General features: G+C 46.9%; 1 protein-coding gene and 1 long non-coding RNA gene across 9 annotated transcripts in view, besides 5 other annotated features; one reads left to right on the forward strand and one right to left on the reverse strand.

The window, feature by feature from the left end:
* LOC105378937 (uncharacterized) overlaps positions 1-1,406 on the reverse strand; it is a 30,521-nt gene extending 29,115 nt beyond the window's left edge. The window contains exon 1 of the long non-coding RNA XR_947757.4: positions 1,294-1,406. This is a non-coding gene — a long non-coding RNA (uncharacterized LOC105378937). The remainder of the gene's footprint in view (positions 1-1,293) is intronic.
* Positions 1,286-1,815: an enhancer, noted in NCBI's record as "NANOG-H3K27ac-H3K4me1 hESC enhancer chr1:120254349-120254878 (GRCh37/hg19 assembly coordinates)". NCBI's record gives its function as "activates a minimal SCP1, AML or CMV promoter by ChIP-STARR-seq in naive H9 embryonic stem cells {active_cell/tissue: H9 hESC(naive)}" and the evidence as "EXISTENCE:reporter gene assay evidence [ECO:0000049][PMID:30033119]".
* Positions 1,297-1,346: an enhancer, noted in NCBI's record as "active region_1596". NCBI's record gives its function as "activates an Ori minimal core promoter by ATAC-STARR-seq in GM12878 lymphoblastoid cells {active_cell/tissue: GM12878}" and the evidence as "EXISTENCE:reporter gene assay evidence [ECO:0000049][PMID:35858748]".
* Positions 1,487-1,766: an enhancer, noted in NCBI's record as "active region_1597". NCBI's record gives its function as "activates an Ori minimal core promoter by ATAC-STARR-seq in GM12878 lymphoblastoid cells {active_cell/tissue: GM12878}" and the evidence as "EXISTENCE:reporter gene assay evidence [ECO:0000049][PMID:35858748]".
* PHGDH (phosphoglycerate dehydrogenase) overlaps positions 1,494-16,512 on the forward strand; it is a 32,282-nt gene continuing 17,263 nt past the window's right edge. For 2 of the 8 annotated variants that reach the window (XR_007058634.1, XM_011541226.3), the window contains exons 1-6: positions 1,494-1,720; positions 10,730-10,881; positions 12,936-13,001; positions 13,879-14,009; positions 14,345-14,435; positions 16,411-16,465. Coding sequence is in view for 7 of the 8 variants with exons in the window: in XM_011541226.3 (XP_011539528.1) it covers positions 1,583-1,720; positions 10,730-10,881; positions 12,936-13,001; positions 13,879-14,009; positions 14,345-14,435; positions 16,411-16,465 (633 nt within the window). In the remaining variant the exon portion in view is untranslated. Of the gene's footprint in view, positions 1,721-2,290; positions 2,419-2,471; positions 3,021-9,437; positions 9,480-10,729; positions 10,882-12,935; positions 13,002-13,878; positions 14,030-14,344; positions 14,436-16,410; positions 16,466-16,512 lie in introns of those variants that run through there. The other 6 variants (XM_011541227.3, XM_047417680.1, XM_011541228.3 and 3 more) reach the window with 6 other exon arrangements.
* Positions 1,817-1,906: an enhancer, noted in NCBI's record as "active region_1598". NCBI's record gives its function as "activates an Ori minimal core promoter by ATAC-STARR-seq in GM12878 lymphoblastoid cells {active_cell/tissue: GM12878}" and the evidence as "EXISTENCE:reporter gene assay evidence [ECO:0000049][PMID:35858748]".
* Positions 2,047-2,146: a silencer, noted in NCBI's record as "silent region_1248". NCBI's record gives its function as "represses an Ori minimal core promoter by ATAC-STARR-seq in GM12878 lymphoblastoid cells {active_cell/tissue: GM12878}" and the evidence as "EXISTENCE:reporter gene assay evidence [ECO:0000049][PMID:35858748]".

The raw sequence follows: 16,512 nt of genomic DNA on the forward strand, positions 1-16,512 counted from the left end.
TCATCCGAACAAGCAAACATGATAGACAATTTTTTTTTTTACCCACTGAGGACATTGTGTCTAAAAATCTGATTTGTGCCCAGGAATTATCTGTATAGAATTTTCATTACTTTATAGAATTGATATTGCATAGTTCTGTAGGATAAGGATCTAGCACTTGAGTTATGAATAGCTCAGGATGACATAACACACAATGGTTAGTTGGACTGGATATGTCCATAAAGCTGAATTCTAATTCAACTATGAGCATCTCTGATTCTGCTTCTGATTCTAGGTGACTTTAATCCCAAATTGAATTTTCTGACATTTCTGTAAAATGGGGCATGAGAGAGCACGTCGGTTATGGGGTTTAAATATAAAAGAGTTAAGAGCTGAGAAGTGCCTCCTTGGTCAATTAAACCACACTGACATCCCGTTTTCCTTTTCTTCTTTTTCATAATTAGAGAGGAAGTGGAGGGAAAGGAAATAAATAACTTTAACAAAGTATGCCTAGTTTAAATGCACCAGGTCCCCGCTCTTTTATAAACTCATAATTCTCATTGCATCACTAATTTGAAATTAATCACAGCTCCTTGGTGTCTCAGAAAGCTTCCTATTGCTTTTCACTACGTAACTTTCCAAGTCTGTGTGTTTGGTACTCTAGGATGTTAGGCCACCAGAGGAAAGAGGATGTATCTTTTTTTTTTTTATACTTTAAGTTTTAGGGTACATGTGCACAATGCGCAGGTTAGTTACATATGTATACATGTGCCATGCTGGTGTGCTGCACCCATTAACTCGTCATTTAGCATTAGGTATATCTCCTAATGCTATCCCTCCCCCCCTCCCCCCACCCCACAACAGTCCCCAGAGTGTGATGTTCCCCTTCCTGTGTCCATGTGTTCTCATTGTTCAATTCCCACCTATGAGTGAGAATATGCGGTGTTTGGTTTTTTGTTCTTGCGATAGTTTACTGAGAATGATGATTTCCAATTTCATCCATGTCCCTACAAAGGACATGAACTCATCATTTTTTATGGCTGCATAGTATTCCATGGTGTATATGTGCCATATTTTCTTAATCCAGTCTATCATTGTTGGACATTTTCTTTTTGATAGTCGAATTCCCTTCAACGTCTAGCACAGTGCCTTGCACATTTACCCACTCAAAAAAAATTTCGTAAGGAATTAATAAATGAATCCTTAGGAGGAAAAGTGAAAATGAAGTTTTTCTCTCAGGATGAGGTGTATTTCTCCGTTCATTTCAGATATGCATCAGCTAGTCAGCGTAAATTGTGCTTTTTATATGCTCACCAGGTGTAGGTAAGAGCTTTGGCTGAGATGGAGAAATTCATCGCGGGAGGATAATAAAGCGGGCAGGGATTTGGCAACCTCAGAGCCGCGAGGAGGAGGCGGAGTCGCGGAGAGTTTGAGTATTTCCGTCCAATCAAAAGGAGACTGTAAGAGGAGGAGGAGGAGGAGATGACTGGGGAGCGGGAGCTGGAGAATACTGCCCAGTTACTCTAGCGCGCCAGGCCGAACCGCAGCTTCTTGGCTTAGGTACTTCTACTCACAGCGGCCGATTCCGAGGCCAACTCCAGCAATGGCTTTTGCAAATCTGCGGAAAGTGCTCATCAGTGACAGCCTGGACCCTTGCTGCCGGAAGATCTTGCAAGATGGAGGGCTGCAGGTGGTGGAAAAGCAGAACCTTAGCAAAGAGGAGCTGATAGCGGAGCTGCAGGTAAGGCGAGAGAGAGAAAATTGAGGTCTCTAGGGCAACCTCCATGGAAAAAGGCTGGCTGCGCCCAGGCCAGCGCGCCCCCCTCGCATGCACCCCGTATCAATTAGTTCCGGGGCCTCCTGAGATTGGGGGGTAGAGAAGAACGGGGGCGGGAGGAGGCAGAAAGAGGGAAGAACAAACGGCGGCGAGATGCAAACTTTTCTTTTAGTTTGCAACCGCGTCTTTCACGTTGGCATGCCTCCGCTAGCATTGCAAAGTGCGGGCTGCTCCAACTGGTCCTGCAGGCTGCTCGCGGATGCCAGCGCGGGATGCCAGCGCGGCGCCCCAGCGCCTTAGCGCGCAATTGTTCTGGCAGCCTCGCGCCGCCTCTCCCCCAACCCCCAACCGCCTCCGCGCGGGGCGATCGGGAGAGGGGCCCCAAAGTGGCTTCTTTGCGGGGAACCCAGGGACTGGCGATTCTTCCCAACCAAGTTCTGGGCCGCCCCGCCGATTCTAGCCTGCCTTGGCGGTGGCGGGGTTGGGGGGGTCGGGGGGCGGGGGGAAGCTGGCGGAGACCCAACCAGTCTGGTGGCTGCTGGGGCAGCTGGAGGGGAAGGCAGCCCTCGTAAGGCAGCAAACACGTACCCGCCCCTCGTCTGATGCAAGACTGCTCCGTGCTTTCGCCGCCCCTCTGCCTCCTGGGAGCCTTCGGAGGAAAGGGAGGCGGGCGGGGAGCGCTGGGGTCCAGATTTAGCCTCCTCCCCACCTTTGGTTTATCGCTGGTTGGGAGTGACCAGACTCGACTAGAATCCGATCCCAAACGCTCCCAGATGATTTATAGTCTTAGCAAATTTTTATCTCCTTTTGTTGTGATATATAATTAATCTACTTCAAATCTTTATCCACCGTGTTTGAAAAGGCCTGCTGGGCCTGGTGGCCTTGTCCGGAATATTTATTTTGTGAACTCTTCACTCCAGTGCCTGCACTTTCGACCTCTGTAGTCGACCCAGCTGCCCAGTCTCTACCTCACCTGATCCAGTATATTCTCCCCCACCCTCCAAATCGCACAACCGCCTTCTGCCCGCCTCAGCCCTGTCCACCACCTTCAGCCGTCTCCTCCTCCGAGGACCCCTTAGACCGCAGAGGCTGCTGTTGTTGCTTTAGTTGTGCCACAACCACGTGGTCCTGGAAACTGCCTCGCTCACTTTGTCTGCCTTTGTATCTGCTGGCGTGGATCTTGTCACCATGGCATGACACTATATCCAAGTATCCAGCTCTGCCCTGTACTCAGAAGAATTTGGTCCCTGCCTTCAAGAAGTTTGTAAGCTGGTTAGGGAGCATGGCTAATACGCAGGAGACAGTTGAGCAGATGACACAAGAGCATAGCCCCGAATTAGACCATCCAGCTCCCTAACCTTTGCGTGTTCCCCTTCTGGAAAAGCCAGAGAAAGGTCCAATCATCATGCACAGAATTGGTGGGCAAGGGCTTAGGACTTGAGTAGGATTGGACGGGTGGCAGGCTCCTCACATCTGTCACCTCCTTTCTTGTGTGAAATTGTATCAGTGGCTCTGGGGAACAACCAGGAAAGGCAGTGGGGTGTCCTGCAGAACAGCCTCTGACTCTCACCTCCACCAGAGCACCAGGTTGGGAAGAGGGTGGCAATCAAGTGCTTTCACCTCTCTAAAGGAAATTAGAAACCTGATACCCCAGTGAGGGGGTGGGGATAGGGAGGGATGAGGGCAGAATTGAGAGGAATGGGAGGCCTCATCCATAATGAGGGGTTGTTCCATGAAGTCAGGAATCAGCTGGGTGGATGCTGGGAGTCTGGTGCTGAAACTTGGAGAACATTTTAAAGGCGCTGAAAACTCTTGGCAGGAGAGGAGGAGTGTTTGTTGGCTAACTTGACTGCTGGGCATTTTTGGACTGTTTGGGAGGGCTCAGCTTTCTTGTCTGTCTTTGCAACACATTTGGTTCAGAATGCCAATTAATCTCCTTGGTCAGCCCACTGAAGGGTCCTCATTTCTACACTATGCCTTTTTATTCTGCATGAAGAGGTGTCTGGCATAGTGTCTCCTGCCCTCCCCCACTGAAGTCTCTTTAATGCTGAAGGAAGCTTCGGCAGCGTTGCTAGAACCGGGCCTGGCCTTGGTTCCCACTGCCTTGTATTCTGGGCAGGCGGTCTCCTCTCACTCACCCCCTGGTCAGGAAGTACAATCATTCCTCCCTGCCCTTTCAGTGGTGCTTTTCAGACTTGGAGCAAGTCATAGTTCAGTTTAAGGGGTCATGACGAGCATTTTAAAAAACAAAGTAGGAAATATCAGACAGCAATGCAGATAGATAGTAAGGTTGTAAGTATTGTTTCATGAATTTTGTTTCATTTATGTTGTGTAGTTGTATGTGTGTGGCATGTGAGTATGAAATTACAACTTAAAAATGTGTTTCTTGGCCGGGCGCGGTGGCTCACGCCTGTAATCCCAACACTTTGGGAGGGGCCAAAGGAGGCAGATCATTTGAACTGAGGAGGTTGAGACCAGACTGGGCAACATGGCAAAACCCTGTCTCTACAAAAAATACGAACATTAGCTAAGCATCTTGCACAAGCCTGTAGTCTCAGCTACTGGGGGATGGGGTGGAGGGCTGAGGCCCTGGTTGCTGTCACTCTTCCCAACCTGGTGCTCTAGTGGGAGGATCGCTTGAGCCTAGGAGTTTGAGGCTGCAGTAAGCCATGATCTCGCCACTGCAATCCAGCCTGGGCAACAGAGCTAGACCCTGTCCCACCCCTCCACCAACAAAGATGTGTTTCTTACAATGAACCTCAGTCAAAAAAGTTTGGAAAACGTTGGCTTAAAATAATAAAGCATCTTGTTTGGAACTCACATCTTAAATATACCTAATATGCCGGAAAATATTTAAATAATATTACCATGTATCAGTGGCTTTTAAACTTTGACTGTGACCCACAATAAGAAATTTGTTTTATGTCATAACTTAAACACTCATACATATGTGTACACACAGACACACACAAATTTTATGAAATAATACTTACTCTTTTTACATATGATGCATTCTGGTATTTTCTTCTGTTTCATTAAGTAGCATTGCTGGTCAGGACCACTAAACTAAACACTGGTAATGGTATTTAATTTACTGAAGCACATCCATACCTTCATATCAGTACTTGAAGAAAGATTAAGAAGGGAATAAATCTTTCCATGCCAAATTTCTTTTCAAATTTCTTTAAAATAGGAAGTTCCCAGCCTTTACACAAGGATTTAGTTTGCAAAAGTTAAATAACCATCAAATTAATCAGGATCACACATCTTGTGCAAAACAGGGTAGACCTGCCTTCCCTATAGCTGGGGAACATGACCTGGATAGTTTCATTGTCTTGCCCTATGATTTAAGTCAGAGGCATGGCAATGCTAGAATTACCTCCTAGGCCAAGCTTGTCCCCTTGGGAAAGGAAGCATGTGTGAACCTGAGGAATGGCAATGGATTCCCATTGCTGAGTTAGCAGTTTGTCTCGAACAGCCATAAATCAAGCAGTTTTCTAGCTGAACAGCAGCTAAGGACAGGGGAGCGGGAGGACTTGTAGGAAGTGTGGGAAGTGCCTGTTCCCGCCACAGTGCAGACACAGAAGCCACACGCAGAGGGCAGTGAACATCAGAATTTGGTGCTGTGTAGAGAGAGACTTGCTTCCTCACCCAAGGAATGACAAAGAGAGGGGAGGATCTCTGGACACTGGAGAAGTTTTAATCGCAAACTGCAGAGGATGTGAGCAGATGGGTGCATTTGGTTAGGGCTGTGGTTTCCATAAGTAGAGGACAGGAGCAGACAGCTTGGGGCAAAGTCTTTGAAGGGGGTGCGTTGTGGCGTGAGGAGGGAAGGGGCTTGGGTGCAGGGGCTTTGAGGGTCCAGCAGGAGGTAGGTTGGATTCAGGCTGTCTGTGAATATGTGCTGATTGAATGAGTGGATAGAGTGGGTAGTTGAGGTTGTAAGAGGCCTTGGAAGCTCATTAACTCTGACTGATGTGGGATGTCTGGTTCTAATGTGGGACCAAGGTCTCCTGAGTGACAGTTTCTGCCCTTGGGAGAGGTGAGACCTGATGCTCATCTGTAGGAGTCTGACTGGGGACTCTTAGTTTCCCTGGCACCAAAGAAGGCTGGTTTGAGGGAAAAGTGAAGAGACTACAGCATAAATCTTTACAAGGGAGATCCATCCAGAGAGTCCATGCTCATGAAAGAAACAATAGTGCTGTTTCTGTGCTTGTTCAGGGGCTACAAGAATGGGTGGACTTTGGGGAGTCTGCATGCTCTCCAGCTAGTGTTGCCTGTGGGGAGCAGGTTTGCAAGGTTTGGGGAGCATTTTGGCAGCTTTGGAGAGAACATTGAAGAAGGATGGACCCTTAAGGCCCAAGGGAGTGATTGGTAGAGCCTCTGGAGCAGGACTGGGCCTGAGATGTGGGCTCTGGAACTTGATGCTAGAGAGACAAGGTGATAAGATGATGACTCTGGGTGGTCCCTTCTCCTCTTGCTCCATGCCTGCTTCTTGTCAGTTGAACTTTGACTTTTGGTCCTGAGCTGACCACTTGAAAGGAGGTTGTGTTTCCTCAGTGTGTTACCAATTTTCTAAGGTGTCAGTGCTGGCTGCAAAGAAATGACCACTAAAAATGTGCTTACCCACCCACTGCCCAGTTGCCCTCCAAAAAGGTCATGCAGTGTACACTCCTGTTTCCCTCCATGCTCACCAATGCTGAATATTATTCATTTTCTTTCTGCCAAAATGATGCCCAAAAATATCATATTTAAAAATCTATATTTCCTTGATATCTAGCGTTGAAGAGTCTATAAACTAGTGAAACTAGTGACCACTTTGTAGTTCTTCTGTGCATTGCCTATTTATATATTTATCTATTTTTTATTGTGCTCTTTATCCTTTAAAAAAGTGGATTTGTGGTGCATGCCTATAATCCCAGCTACTCGGGAGGCTGAAGCAGGAGAATCGCTTGAACCCGGGAGGCGGAGGTTGCAGTGAGCCAAGATCGCGCCATTGCACTCCAGCCTGGGCAATAAGAGTGAAACTCTGTCTCAAAAAAAAAAAAAAAAAAAAAAAAAAAAAGTTGATTTGTAGGAATTCTATCACTTTTGGTGATGAATCCTTGTTCTGTTACATATGGTGAAAGGAGTTTTCTCCACATATCAGGACCACTACTTGCTTTTGTTTATGGGATCTTTTTCCATGCAGAAGTTTAAAATTTGAATGTAACTGGATTTGTCAATATTTTCTTCCAGAGTTTCTAAGATTTGTGCCTTGCTTATGAAAGGTTTTCCCAATCCGAGTCATAAAAATATCCCCTGACATTTTCTTTTAATGCTTATATTTTTAAAAATTCTTTAATTCATCTGGATTTTTAAAAATCTGAAGTGAGGTAGCAATCTATTATTTTTCTTCTTGAATTTTCATAACATTATTTCTTGTTTAGTTCTTCCTTTCCGCATCAATTTGAGTTCTGCTTTTTATTTTCTAAATTCTCACATATTCTGTTTGTCTAGTGTCTATTTAGTTCTGTTGACTGATTTGTCAATTTCTGAACGTTTTTCCTGCTTTTTTTCAACTTCTTTTAATAAGATTTTTGAAAATCCTTGAGCACTCTTAGAAGTAGACCTTATGCCTCCTTATCACAGTCAAAGGAAGGGATTTCTGATGAGCAATTTTCAGGCATGTGAAGTGTTAAAGTTATTTGGGAAAGAGGGTGAAGGTGTGAGGATGGGGGACTGATGAGGGTGGTTTCTACCGGCCTCTCATCACTGAATTCATTTATTCAATGGAAGTGTATAAAACACTTCATTGTGAAGTATCAACTGTGAGCTTGCCTACAGGCCACAGGCAACTTGCTCTTCTCGACAGAGGCATTTGTGCCTATTTCTATTATCCCCCAGTAGGCAGGCTGGCTGGGAGGAGCAGGTCACCAGAAGATCCAGGGACCTTTGTTAGGGAGCTTCTGCCATCTTGGAGAAGCCACAGGATTTCTGGCAATGTCTCTCCTGGTTTAGGTGTCTAAATGCTGTATTTGGAAGGTAGTTGGAACTCAACAGATTTGGACTTGATTCCAGCTTCTGCCATATCCTAGCTATGTGACTTCAGCAAGTTCTCTAAATTCTTTAAGTGTCAGTTTGCTTGTCTGTACTATAGGGATAATTGTAATATCTGTCTTAGGATTGTTGTGAAGCACAGTGCTGGATGTAAAGTACTTGCTCAAAAAATGGTAGCTATTGTTACTAGTAAATCTCTCCAAGGGATTTTACAGTTTGGTTTTTGCACCTAACTGGCCATGGCCTTGGCTCTGGCCCTATCTTCTTGACATCTTGGCAGGTCTACCAACTCTTCTTCAGTTACAGTCTCAGAGTTAGCCAGTGGCAATGACTTTCCAGTTCTTGGCTGGTTTTTGATCTGTAAGAGTGACCTTGGGCAGGTTACCTCTCAAAGCCTCTGTTTCTTTATCTGGAAACTGGGGATGATTATACCCCTTCTCCTTGGAGTTGTGAAGAGAATAATGTAAAGCAACTGGTGTAATGCCTAGTACCCAGCAGGTGCTCAATAAATGGTTTATGTGCTGGTGAGGCTGGTACTATGGATATATGGTATAGAGTAGATAAAGTTTTAATATAAAATCCCTGCATTAGGCATAGAAAATATAACTAAGGAGACCAAAACTGCAGGTCTAAGAGAGGACAACTAGATATGAAACATATTATATTGGTGATCACAACAAAAATGGTGGGGTGTAGGGAGAGTGACAGTTCAGGGTTGTTGGCAAATGTTTCCTGGAAGATAACTTTATTGCACCTTGAAAAGTCAGTAAAGTGTGTCCAGGCAGGGAAATCCTTTTCTTTGGAGCCTGTGTGGTGGACTTGAATGTGGAAAAGATGCCAGTATCCTGTTTCTGCCTGGCTTGGCTGATATTTAACTAGGCTGCTATGGGGGGAAATCAGAATACCTCCAGGTGCTCACCTGGTGTTGGCCTCAGCACTGGGGCAGTCAGCACTGAGGTGGCTTCTGTTTGATTCCTCTAAGCCCTGGGTGCCCATGTGACTTGTATACACCCAGGTCATAATCAGTTTAGCATAATGCCAGATACGTACATAGCGGGCATCCGATAAAATGAAGGAAGAAAAGTACAGGGGAGGGGAAGGGAAAGTAGGCAGGCTTAACTTTGTTGGGCTTCAGTTTTTCCTCTGTAAAATGGAGTTGGACCAGATGCTGGTGAACATTTCTTCAAATCTCCCACTCTGACGTTCTGCTTCAGAACCTCAGACATAAAAGGATTTGGAGTGTCTTCCAGGCCGCCTGCATGTTTCTCTCTGCTGGTAGGCACAGCCCCCAAGCAGTGAGGATGTGTGATGCATAAACACCTCCAGAGGAATCGTTCTACTATTGCTCTTGAACAATTCTTCCAGTGTTTAGAAGCTCTTAAGGCTTAAATATTCTATGCTGCAGCCTAAGCATCATTCCTCTTCTCTTCTTAGTGGAGATAAAATTACCCACTGCTCTCCTTACATTTACTTTGTCCATATTTGCTCCTATGCTCTAGGCTCGTGCACAACAAACACAGTGTGGGCCCTTACCCTAGAAGCCAACTTCTCATGACCTTTCTCTATCTCCAGAATCCATGCAGTGGGAATGAAGGTAAAAGAAGGTTTTCATGGGATCCAGCTGAGAGCTCTACGGGGAAAATGGATCTGAGGAGCCATGTGCTCCATCTCTTTTATTTTACAGGTAGAGACTAGGGGTATAGAGTGAGGTGAATTACCGCAGTGACCCACACATTGTTGGCAGACCTAGGATTAGAACTCTGTCTTCCTGGTTCCCAGCTTGGTGCTTTTGAAAGCATACTTGCTGCTTTCTTACCGGCCTGGTGTCTGCCACTTTGGGACAGAGTGTGGACTTGCTCACCTGCCCCATTTCTTAGGGATTCTCATTCTGTGTTTGAGCAAGAATATTCTTATTCTGGAAAGAACCACATACCACAGGATTCTGGGTGAGCATAAGGAAGATTGTCTTGGGGATCTGACTTAGCTCACGTATAGTGGCTATGATGAATTCAGTGTCTTATTTTTTGCATATGTATATTTTTAGTCTAATATTGCCTGGGTGTCTGAGCAAGTCTAGATGAATTTAATTGCTCTCATTTTTCCCCTGCCCCTCTTCCTTTGGTCTCTCTTTTAGGAAATGTTTTTCTTTCAACATTCGTTTCATTCATTATTTACTCATTCGGCCAACCAACATTTATTGAGTGCCTTCCCTGTATCAGGGACAGGGGCTTACAAAGTAGAATTTGATCCCACCTCTGCCCTCAGTAGCTCAGTGTCTAATGGAGGTAGTGATGTTCATTAAGCGTCGCCAGATACTGTGCTAGGTGCTGTGCCTGTTCTCTCTCGCTTGTTCCTCACACACTTGAGAAGGCCGAAGCTGATTCATAGCTTGGAAGGCAGGGGCCTTGGATTTGAACCCAGGCCTGACCAATGGCAGAACCTATCAGATGTGTGGACAGATGACATTGCCTTTCTTTCTTTGGATATATCAAAATCAGCCAGCAGGCAGGAACTCCCATTTTGAGCAAGCAATGTGCAGGAATGATAGGGTATACAGAGAGGAACAGGAGATGGCCCCTGACTTCCAGCATGTGTCTGATGGACATCCAGGCTGCAGGCATCATGGTGCTGTCTAGAGAGATGAGCCAGGTGCCCAGAGCCCATGGGCCAATGCTGCCCTTTCTTGAGCATGCCAAACAAAGCGGTTGGTGTGTTAGAGGCACAGTCTCCTCCACTCTAAGTAAAAATCAGCATGAGTCCTAGCCCACATTTCCCTAGTGAGTATACCAAAGATATCTATGAACTGGCAGTCATCAGTGACTTCCTAAGGTTCCGGAAATGCATCTCTTACTCAGGAGTAAGCAATGATGTGCCTGCGGCTTTACGAGTTCTCACAGAATGACTTTCTGGACCCAAATGTTTTTTCTGCTTCAGGACTGTGAAGGCCTTATTGTTCGCTCTGCCACCAAGGTGACCGCTGATGTCATCAACGCAGCTGAGAAACTCCAGGTGGTGGGCAGGGCTGGCACAGGTGTGGACAATGTGGATCTGGAGGCCGCAACAAGGAAGGGCATCTTGGTTATGAAGTAAGTCATGGAGGCTGCGGGCGGTTTGGGGGTAGGGGGGTGAGTGCGGAGACTGACCACACCTAGGGAGAAAAAACTCACTTGAGAGAAAGCTGAGTCCATTGGAAGGGCTTCCAGGAGGATGCCTGGTCTAGGGCCTGCATGGTCAACACACACAGCATAGTGGTTTCAAGGTTTTTGGAAGGCAGCTATGCTCACCACTATATCACCAATGCCATCAGGGTGTTACACAGTTTTTGAAATTGAGAGTCCCTGCATAATCTCAAAATGTTTCACGAGCCCACCCCATGCGCAGTTGCTTGCACCTCTGTGACCTGGTTCAGGAATCGGAAGGTCAGTGAGTTCATCTGCATTTCCTGCTCCCACCCAGCCCCCTCTGCCTCTATTAATGCTGTTTGTGGCAGGTTTTTGTCAGCTCTACTTTACTGTGCTTGTACAGAGGCACAACCTTTGCTAGCAGACTAATGACTAGAATCCTTGCCCTCCCCACTTCCCTGCCACCTTCTGGAACTAAGACACTAGTTTCTCTTTCAGTGCTCTAGGGCAAGAGGAGAAGGGTCCCATTTAAAGCTGTTTCTGCAGAAACACAGGGGCAGAGGTCATCAGCACGCCAGTGCTGTACTGTACCCGTTCTGTCACTTAGATGGTATGGCAAGGCCATCCCCAGGCCTCTTTGTTCTTAAGACTTTTCTCTTCCCTTGGGGACTTCATTGTCCTTAAGACCTTTCCCCTCCCCTGCACTGCACTTCCCCCTGTAGGGTAGAGGTTAATTGGTCACCTGACTGAAGTCAATATTCAACAGCAGAAATGTTAAACGATAACCCATCCCACATTCTTGCCTTGGACCCAGAGGCAGCCAGGCCCCAATCTCTGCACCTCTACTTGCGCCCCCATACAGCCTGTTTGCTGTGGGAGGATGAGAAGCCAGGTGGTTTTGCAGGCAGACAGACTCTGAGAGTCCGTTTATCTTATACAGGATCTCTTGACTTTTTCTTCTTGTAACCTTATTAACCTTCATTCCAGAGATGAAAAAGACAGACCCAGTAGGGGAATAATCAGGGTGAACACGTATATGAAATTCTTTCAAAAACCTAAAAAGCATTTAAGAAAAGAAAAATAGTTTTGTGGGTTGCCACCTCTATTTTTTTGTTTATAAAATGGGAAGGGTCTGGATTGCCCTGTGACTTAGGGTGTGAGGAGGCTTTCTCAGTTCAGAACTTGTTGAGAGATAGGAAGAGTAGTCAGACAGGTGGAGATTACTAATAAAAGCTAGGTTGGGGCTGCGTGTGGGGGCTCACACCTGTAATCCCAGCACTTTGGAAGGCCAAGGTGGGAGGATCACTTGGGCCCAGGAGTTTGAGACCAGCCTGGGCAACAAAGTGAGACCCCCATCTCTACAAAAATACAAAAAAAAAAAAAGAAGGAAAGAAAAGCCAGGTATGTTGGCACCAGCCTGTAGTCTCAGCTACTGAGAAGGTTGAGCTGGAAGGATTGCTTGAACCCTGGGAAGTCAAGGCTGCAGTGAGCTGTGATCATGCCAGTACACTCCAGCCTGGGTGACAGAGCGAGGCCTTGTCAAAAAAAAAAAAAAAAAGCCAGGTTGGGTAACTTGATGAAGATATGTAGGCATTGGACTGAGCCCTGAATTCGAGAGACTCTGACCTTGGTAAGATCAATGGTAGGAGCAGCAGGGAATTTGTGCTTTCTGGAGGCAGGTAGATCCTGAAATAGGAGAAAGAAAAGGGCTGAACCACACACAAATCTGATCATGTGAGACACTTCTCTGCCTTGGGAGGAGTGTTTGGATAGAGAGAAGCCAGATATGTTTCTCTAATGGAGGTCCCTCTGCAGGGAAACATAAAGCCAGGGGAAGGGGGTTTCTTTCCAGCCCTTGGCTTAGGGCGAGAGTACATCAGAGAACTCTGGACAGTGGCGTGGTCAGTTCATGGAGCAGGAGTGAGAGAACACAGCCTGCACTCAAGGCTTTCTCTTGGGGAAGGAGTGGGAATACTGGGTCTGTGCCCATTGATGTCCCCCTTTTCTTTGATCTTTAGCACCCCCAATGGGAACAGCCTCAGTGCCGCAGAACTCACTTGTGGAATGATCATGTGCCTGGCCAGGTAAGTCCCTGACTTCTCAGCAAAGCTAGTCTCTCCGATATGCCAATTATTACCACTTGCCAAGCAAATGGACCCAGAAAAACTTAGAAACATTTCGTCTCAGCGACTTGCAGACTGCTAAGAAGGCGACATGCAGACTGCAAAGAACCTTTAAGGCCATCAGGTCCTCTATTCAACATTCATTACACAGGTTCCCTAGTGCACAAAGGTGCACTTCTCTTTACTCATGTTCTATTCTCCATGCTGCAGACAATCTGCCTTCTCTAGCCTCCAACTCTTGCAAATGTTCTCCATACCCTGCTGCCTGGAGATAACAAGGAAGGATGTTCCAGGCAGCAGGGTATGGACAGTGTCTAGGTACCCTCTGCTTACTTTTCAAGATTAAGCTTCAGTATTAATTTATCCAAGAAGCTCTCTGGCTTTTCCAGCTAGGCTATGTCCCTCACTGATTCCCCTGGCCCTCAGGGCTTATCTCTGTCACTGCCCTTACAAATCTGTATTGTAATAGAATGGAGTAAGAACCTGCTTCAGGGTCCTTGTGTGTTCTGTGGGTTCATAACACAATGGAACTCAAATGGGCAAGACTCTTGCTCTTCTAGCAGGAGTTCCAGGCCTCTTGAGTGGATGGGGCAGCCTAGAAATCAAATGGTTGTGGCACAGAATGTGCTTGAGTCTCAGTGTGTTGGTTAGTAATTTGGCAAAACTGATTGCATGGAGCACTTCTGTTGAACAGGCAATTCAAGCATTTATGTGGTCAAGGGGAAGAACAAGGCTCCCAATAAACAGGGTAGGAAGTTGTTCTAGGTCCCTTTGAAGCTCCATGGATTCCCTAAACCAGCGGACCTAGGCATCAAGGACTCCTTGTTTCTCTACTCAGGCCTGAAACCTTCCGGGACCAAGAAATTACTTTTCCCATGGCGAGACCTGCTTTCCCTCCTGCTGGAGGAGGATCTGGGGGAATTTACCTCTGCTCTAACTCCTCCCTGCAGTTTCCATCTGAGCTCTCTGGTATTCACTGATATTCACTGGTAGGTGAAAGGAGGCAGTGGGGGGAAAGGAGAAACAGGGATAGCTTACACAGCAGTAGGGTCTCAGCCTAGAAGGGGCCCCCAGGCTGGCAGCCGGGTTCTCCCAGAACATCTAGGCTGAGTGTCTCTCCCCCTGGAGAAGTACAGAAGCCTGGCACCCTGGTTTCACTTCAGCTATTACCTTCAGGGATTTTTTTTTTTTTTTTTGAGTAAGGGAAAAGATCTCAATGTGGCTTTCTGATTAATTACCTCACTTTTTTTCTGGAGGTGGAAGGAAAGGATTGGGAGCCAGCAATACTTTCCCTCCTTTTCCAGGACCAGCTTTGTTTAAAGGAATCGGTGAAATGCTGTGGTTTAAAAGAAGCTCCCCATTGTCAACTGCTCACCATGACCTCACTCATCAAAGGTGCATCAAAACTAGGAAACACGCACACCCTATTGGGAAGGAATGCGTTCGTTTCATCAGACTGTTCCTAGCAGGGAGGACGGTAGGAGAGTGTGGGTGCCTATATGTAGACTCTACAGGATTGGGCAATGTGGGTGGAGAGCAGGCGTGGCTGGGCCTCACAGTAGGGACTTTGAGCAGATGGCGGGGGCTCCTGAGGTGCAGAAGAACAGCACACAGAAAGGAAGGAAGGAGAGAATCAACAAATGTAGGTTTCACCATTTTTGCCTGCTTTACCATCTCCTCCTCTAGTAAGTCAGGCCAGCAACCATTTAATTATTGTGAGGACCCTCGCCCACATTAGAGTCCTCTCCAGTCTGGCCTGATGAGGATTCCAAAGCATTGAAACCTGGAGAGGCTCCATGATCAGCTGGGAGCAGCAGCCAGAGAAAAGGGTTAGGGATTTCTTGTGTTCTGTGGTGCCGCACGCATACATCTTAGATAGCACTGTGGAGTCTGGTGGGAAGAAAATAGGATGTGAGGGAGAGGAGAGAGGGGCCAGGTGGGGCTCTGTCTCACTAGGTCAAAGGCATTTTATCAGGCAAGCTTTCCCAAGAAGTGAACAGTTCCTCAAGGCAAGTCCCTGTCCTTATTACCTGCCTGATGGGTCAGAGCAGTGAGGTGAATGCAGCTTGTCCCCCATGTGGCTTGGTACTGAAGTTCTTCTGAGTTTACCCATAAGATCGTGCGCCTCTGTGATGGAGGACAGATTCCACCTTCAGCCTTACCCTCAGATGGAGATCAATGTCCTAGTGATGTGTAGAGATGAGAGAATGTTTTTGTGTTAGAAGTTAGTGAAGTGAAAGCACGGAAGTAGCAGCTTGAGATTTCTCTTTTTGCACGCTCGCTCACTCTGAGGTTTTTGGCATCAGGTTAAAGGCCTACATTTAAGTACTCAGGAGGCTGGCCGTGCTGGGGTTGACTTTGCTGGCTTTGAATCTGTTCAAGTGCCTCCAGTTGGGTGATCTGGGGAGAACTGTTTAACCTCCAGTGCCTCCCTCCGTGCAGCTGTGAATGTTAGAGGAGTTAATGTGTGTCTAAACATTTCTTTTAGGATGTCTAAAATAAAGTGCTCCTTAAACATTGTTTCTCAAATCTTCCTTTTTTGCCTCCAGAGATGTGTTGATGACCCATGCCCACAGGACATATATCGCCCTTTGACCTCTAATGTTGCCCTAATTGCCACTTCCTCTGTCTCCTCCAGAAAACACAGATGTAGACTCAGACTTCCATCTGGACTAATAGGAGGAGACAGGCTGTGAAGAGTGTGTGTGTGTGTGTGTGTGTGTGTGTGTGTGTGTGTGTGTGTGTTGGTGGTGGTGGGACAGGAAGGTGGTGCGGATGTTTAAAAATGTTGGGACCACGCATTCAGGACAGAATGGAAGTGTCTGGGCTTTGGCATCCACCCACCCACTCTAGGGTCCAGACTAGTCTAAGACCCTCGGGGTTAAGAAACTCTCAAGGAAGCATAGGTAATTAGGTGTCCTCTTCATAATAGTAGAAGACGTCATAGGTTATGGTGCTGGATGAGATAGGTAGATCAAAATAATTCCTTGAGCTTCTGGAGTACTCGATGTCATCAGAGTTGCCCAGTACCCCACTCAGTTATCCCTACAGACCCTGGAGGATTGGCGATCGCTTAAAGTAAAAAACTCACTCTGGTTGATGCCTCAGTGGCTGAGGTGGAATCCATACCTCCTCCCAGATGCCTGGCTGGTCACAGAAATCCCAGGCTTTCTAAGTCAGATCTTGCCAAGGGTTTCTCTCTTCTGTTTTCCCTTTATCCCCCATCAGTGTTCCTAAACCTGAACCCCCAGACCCAGTTCTTGGGGAAGTGGCTGTCATGGGCAGTGACTGTGCAAACCTGATGTTGCATCTCCTTCCTGGGCTGGCGGGAGTCCGAATGGACCCTCTGAACCTGTGTCTATCCTTGCAGGCAGATTCCCCAGGCGACGGCTTCGATGAAGGACGGCAAATGGGAGCGGAAGAAGGTGAGCAGCGGCCTTGACTCGCCCCACCTGGGCTCAGGGCCCGGGGT

Source organism: Homo sapiens, chromosome 1, assembly GCF_000001405.40.
Source record: "Homo sapiens chromosome 1, GRCh38.p14 Primary Assembly".
NCBI classification, from domain to species: domain Eukaryota; kingdom Metazoa; phylum Chordata; class Mammalia; order Primates; family Hominidae; genus Homo; species Homo sapiens.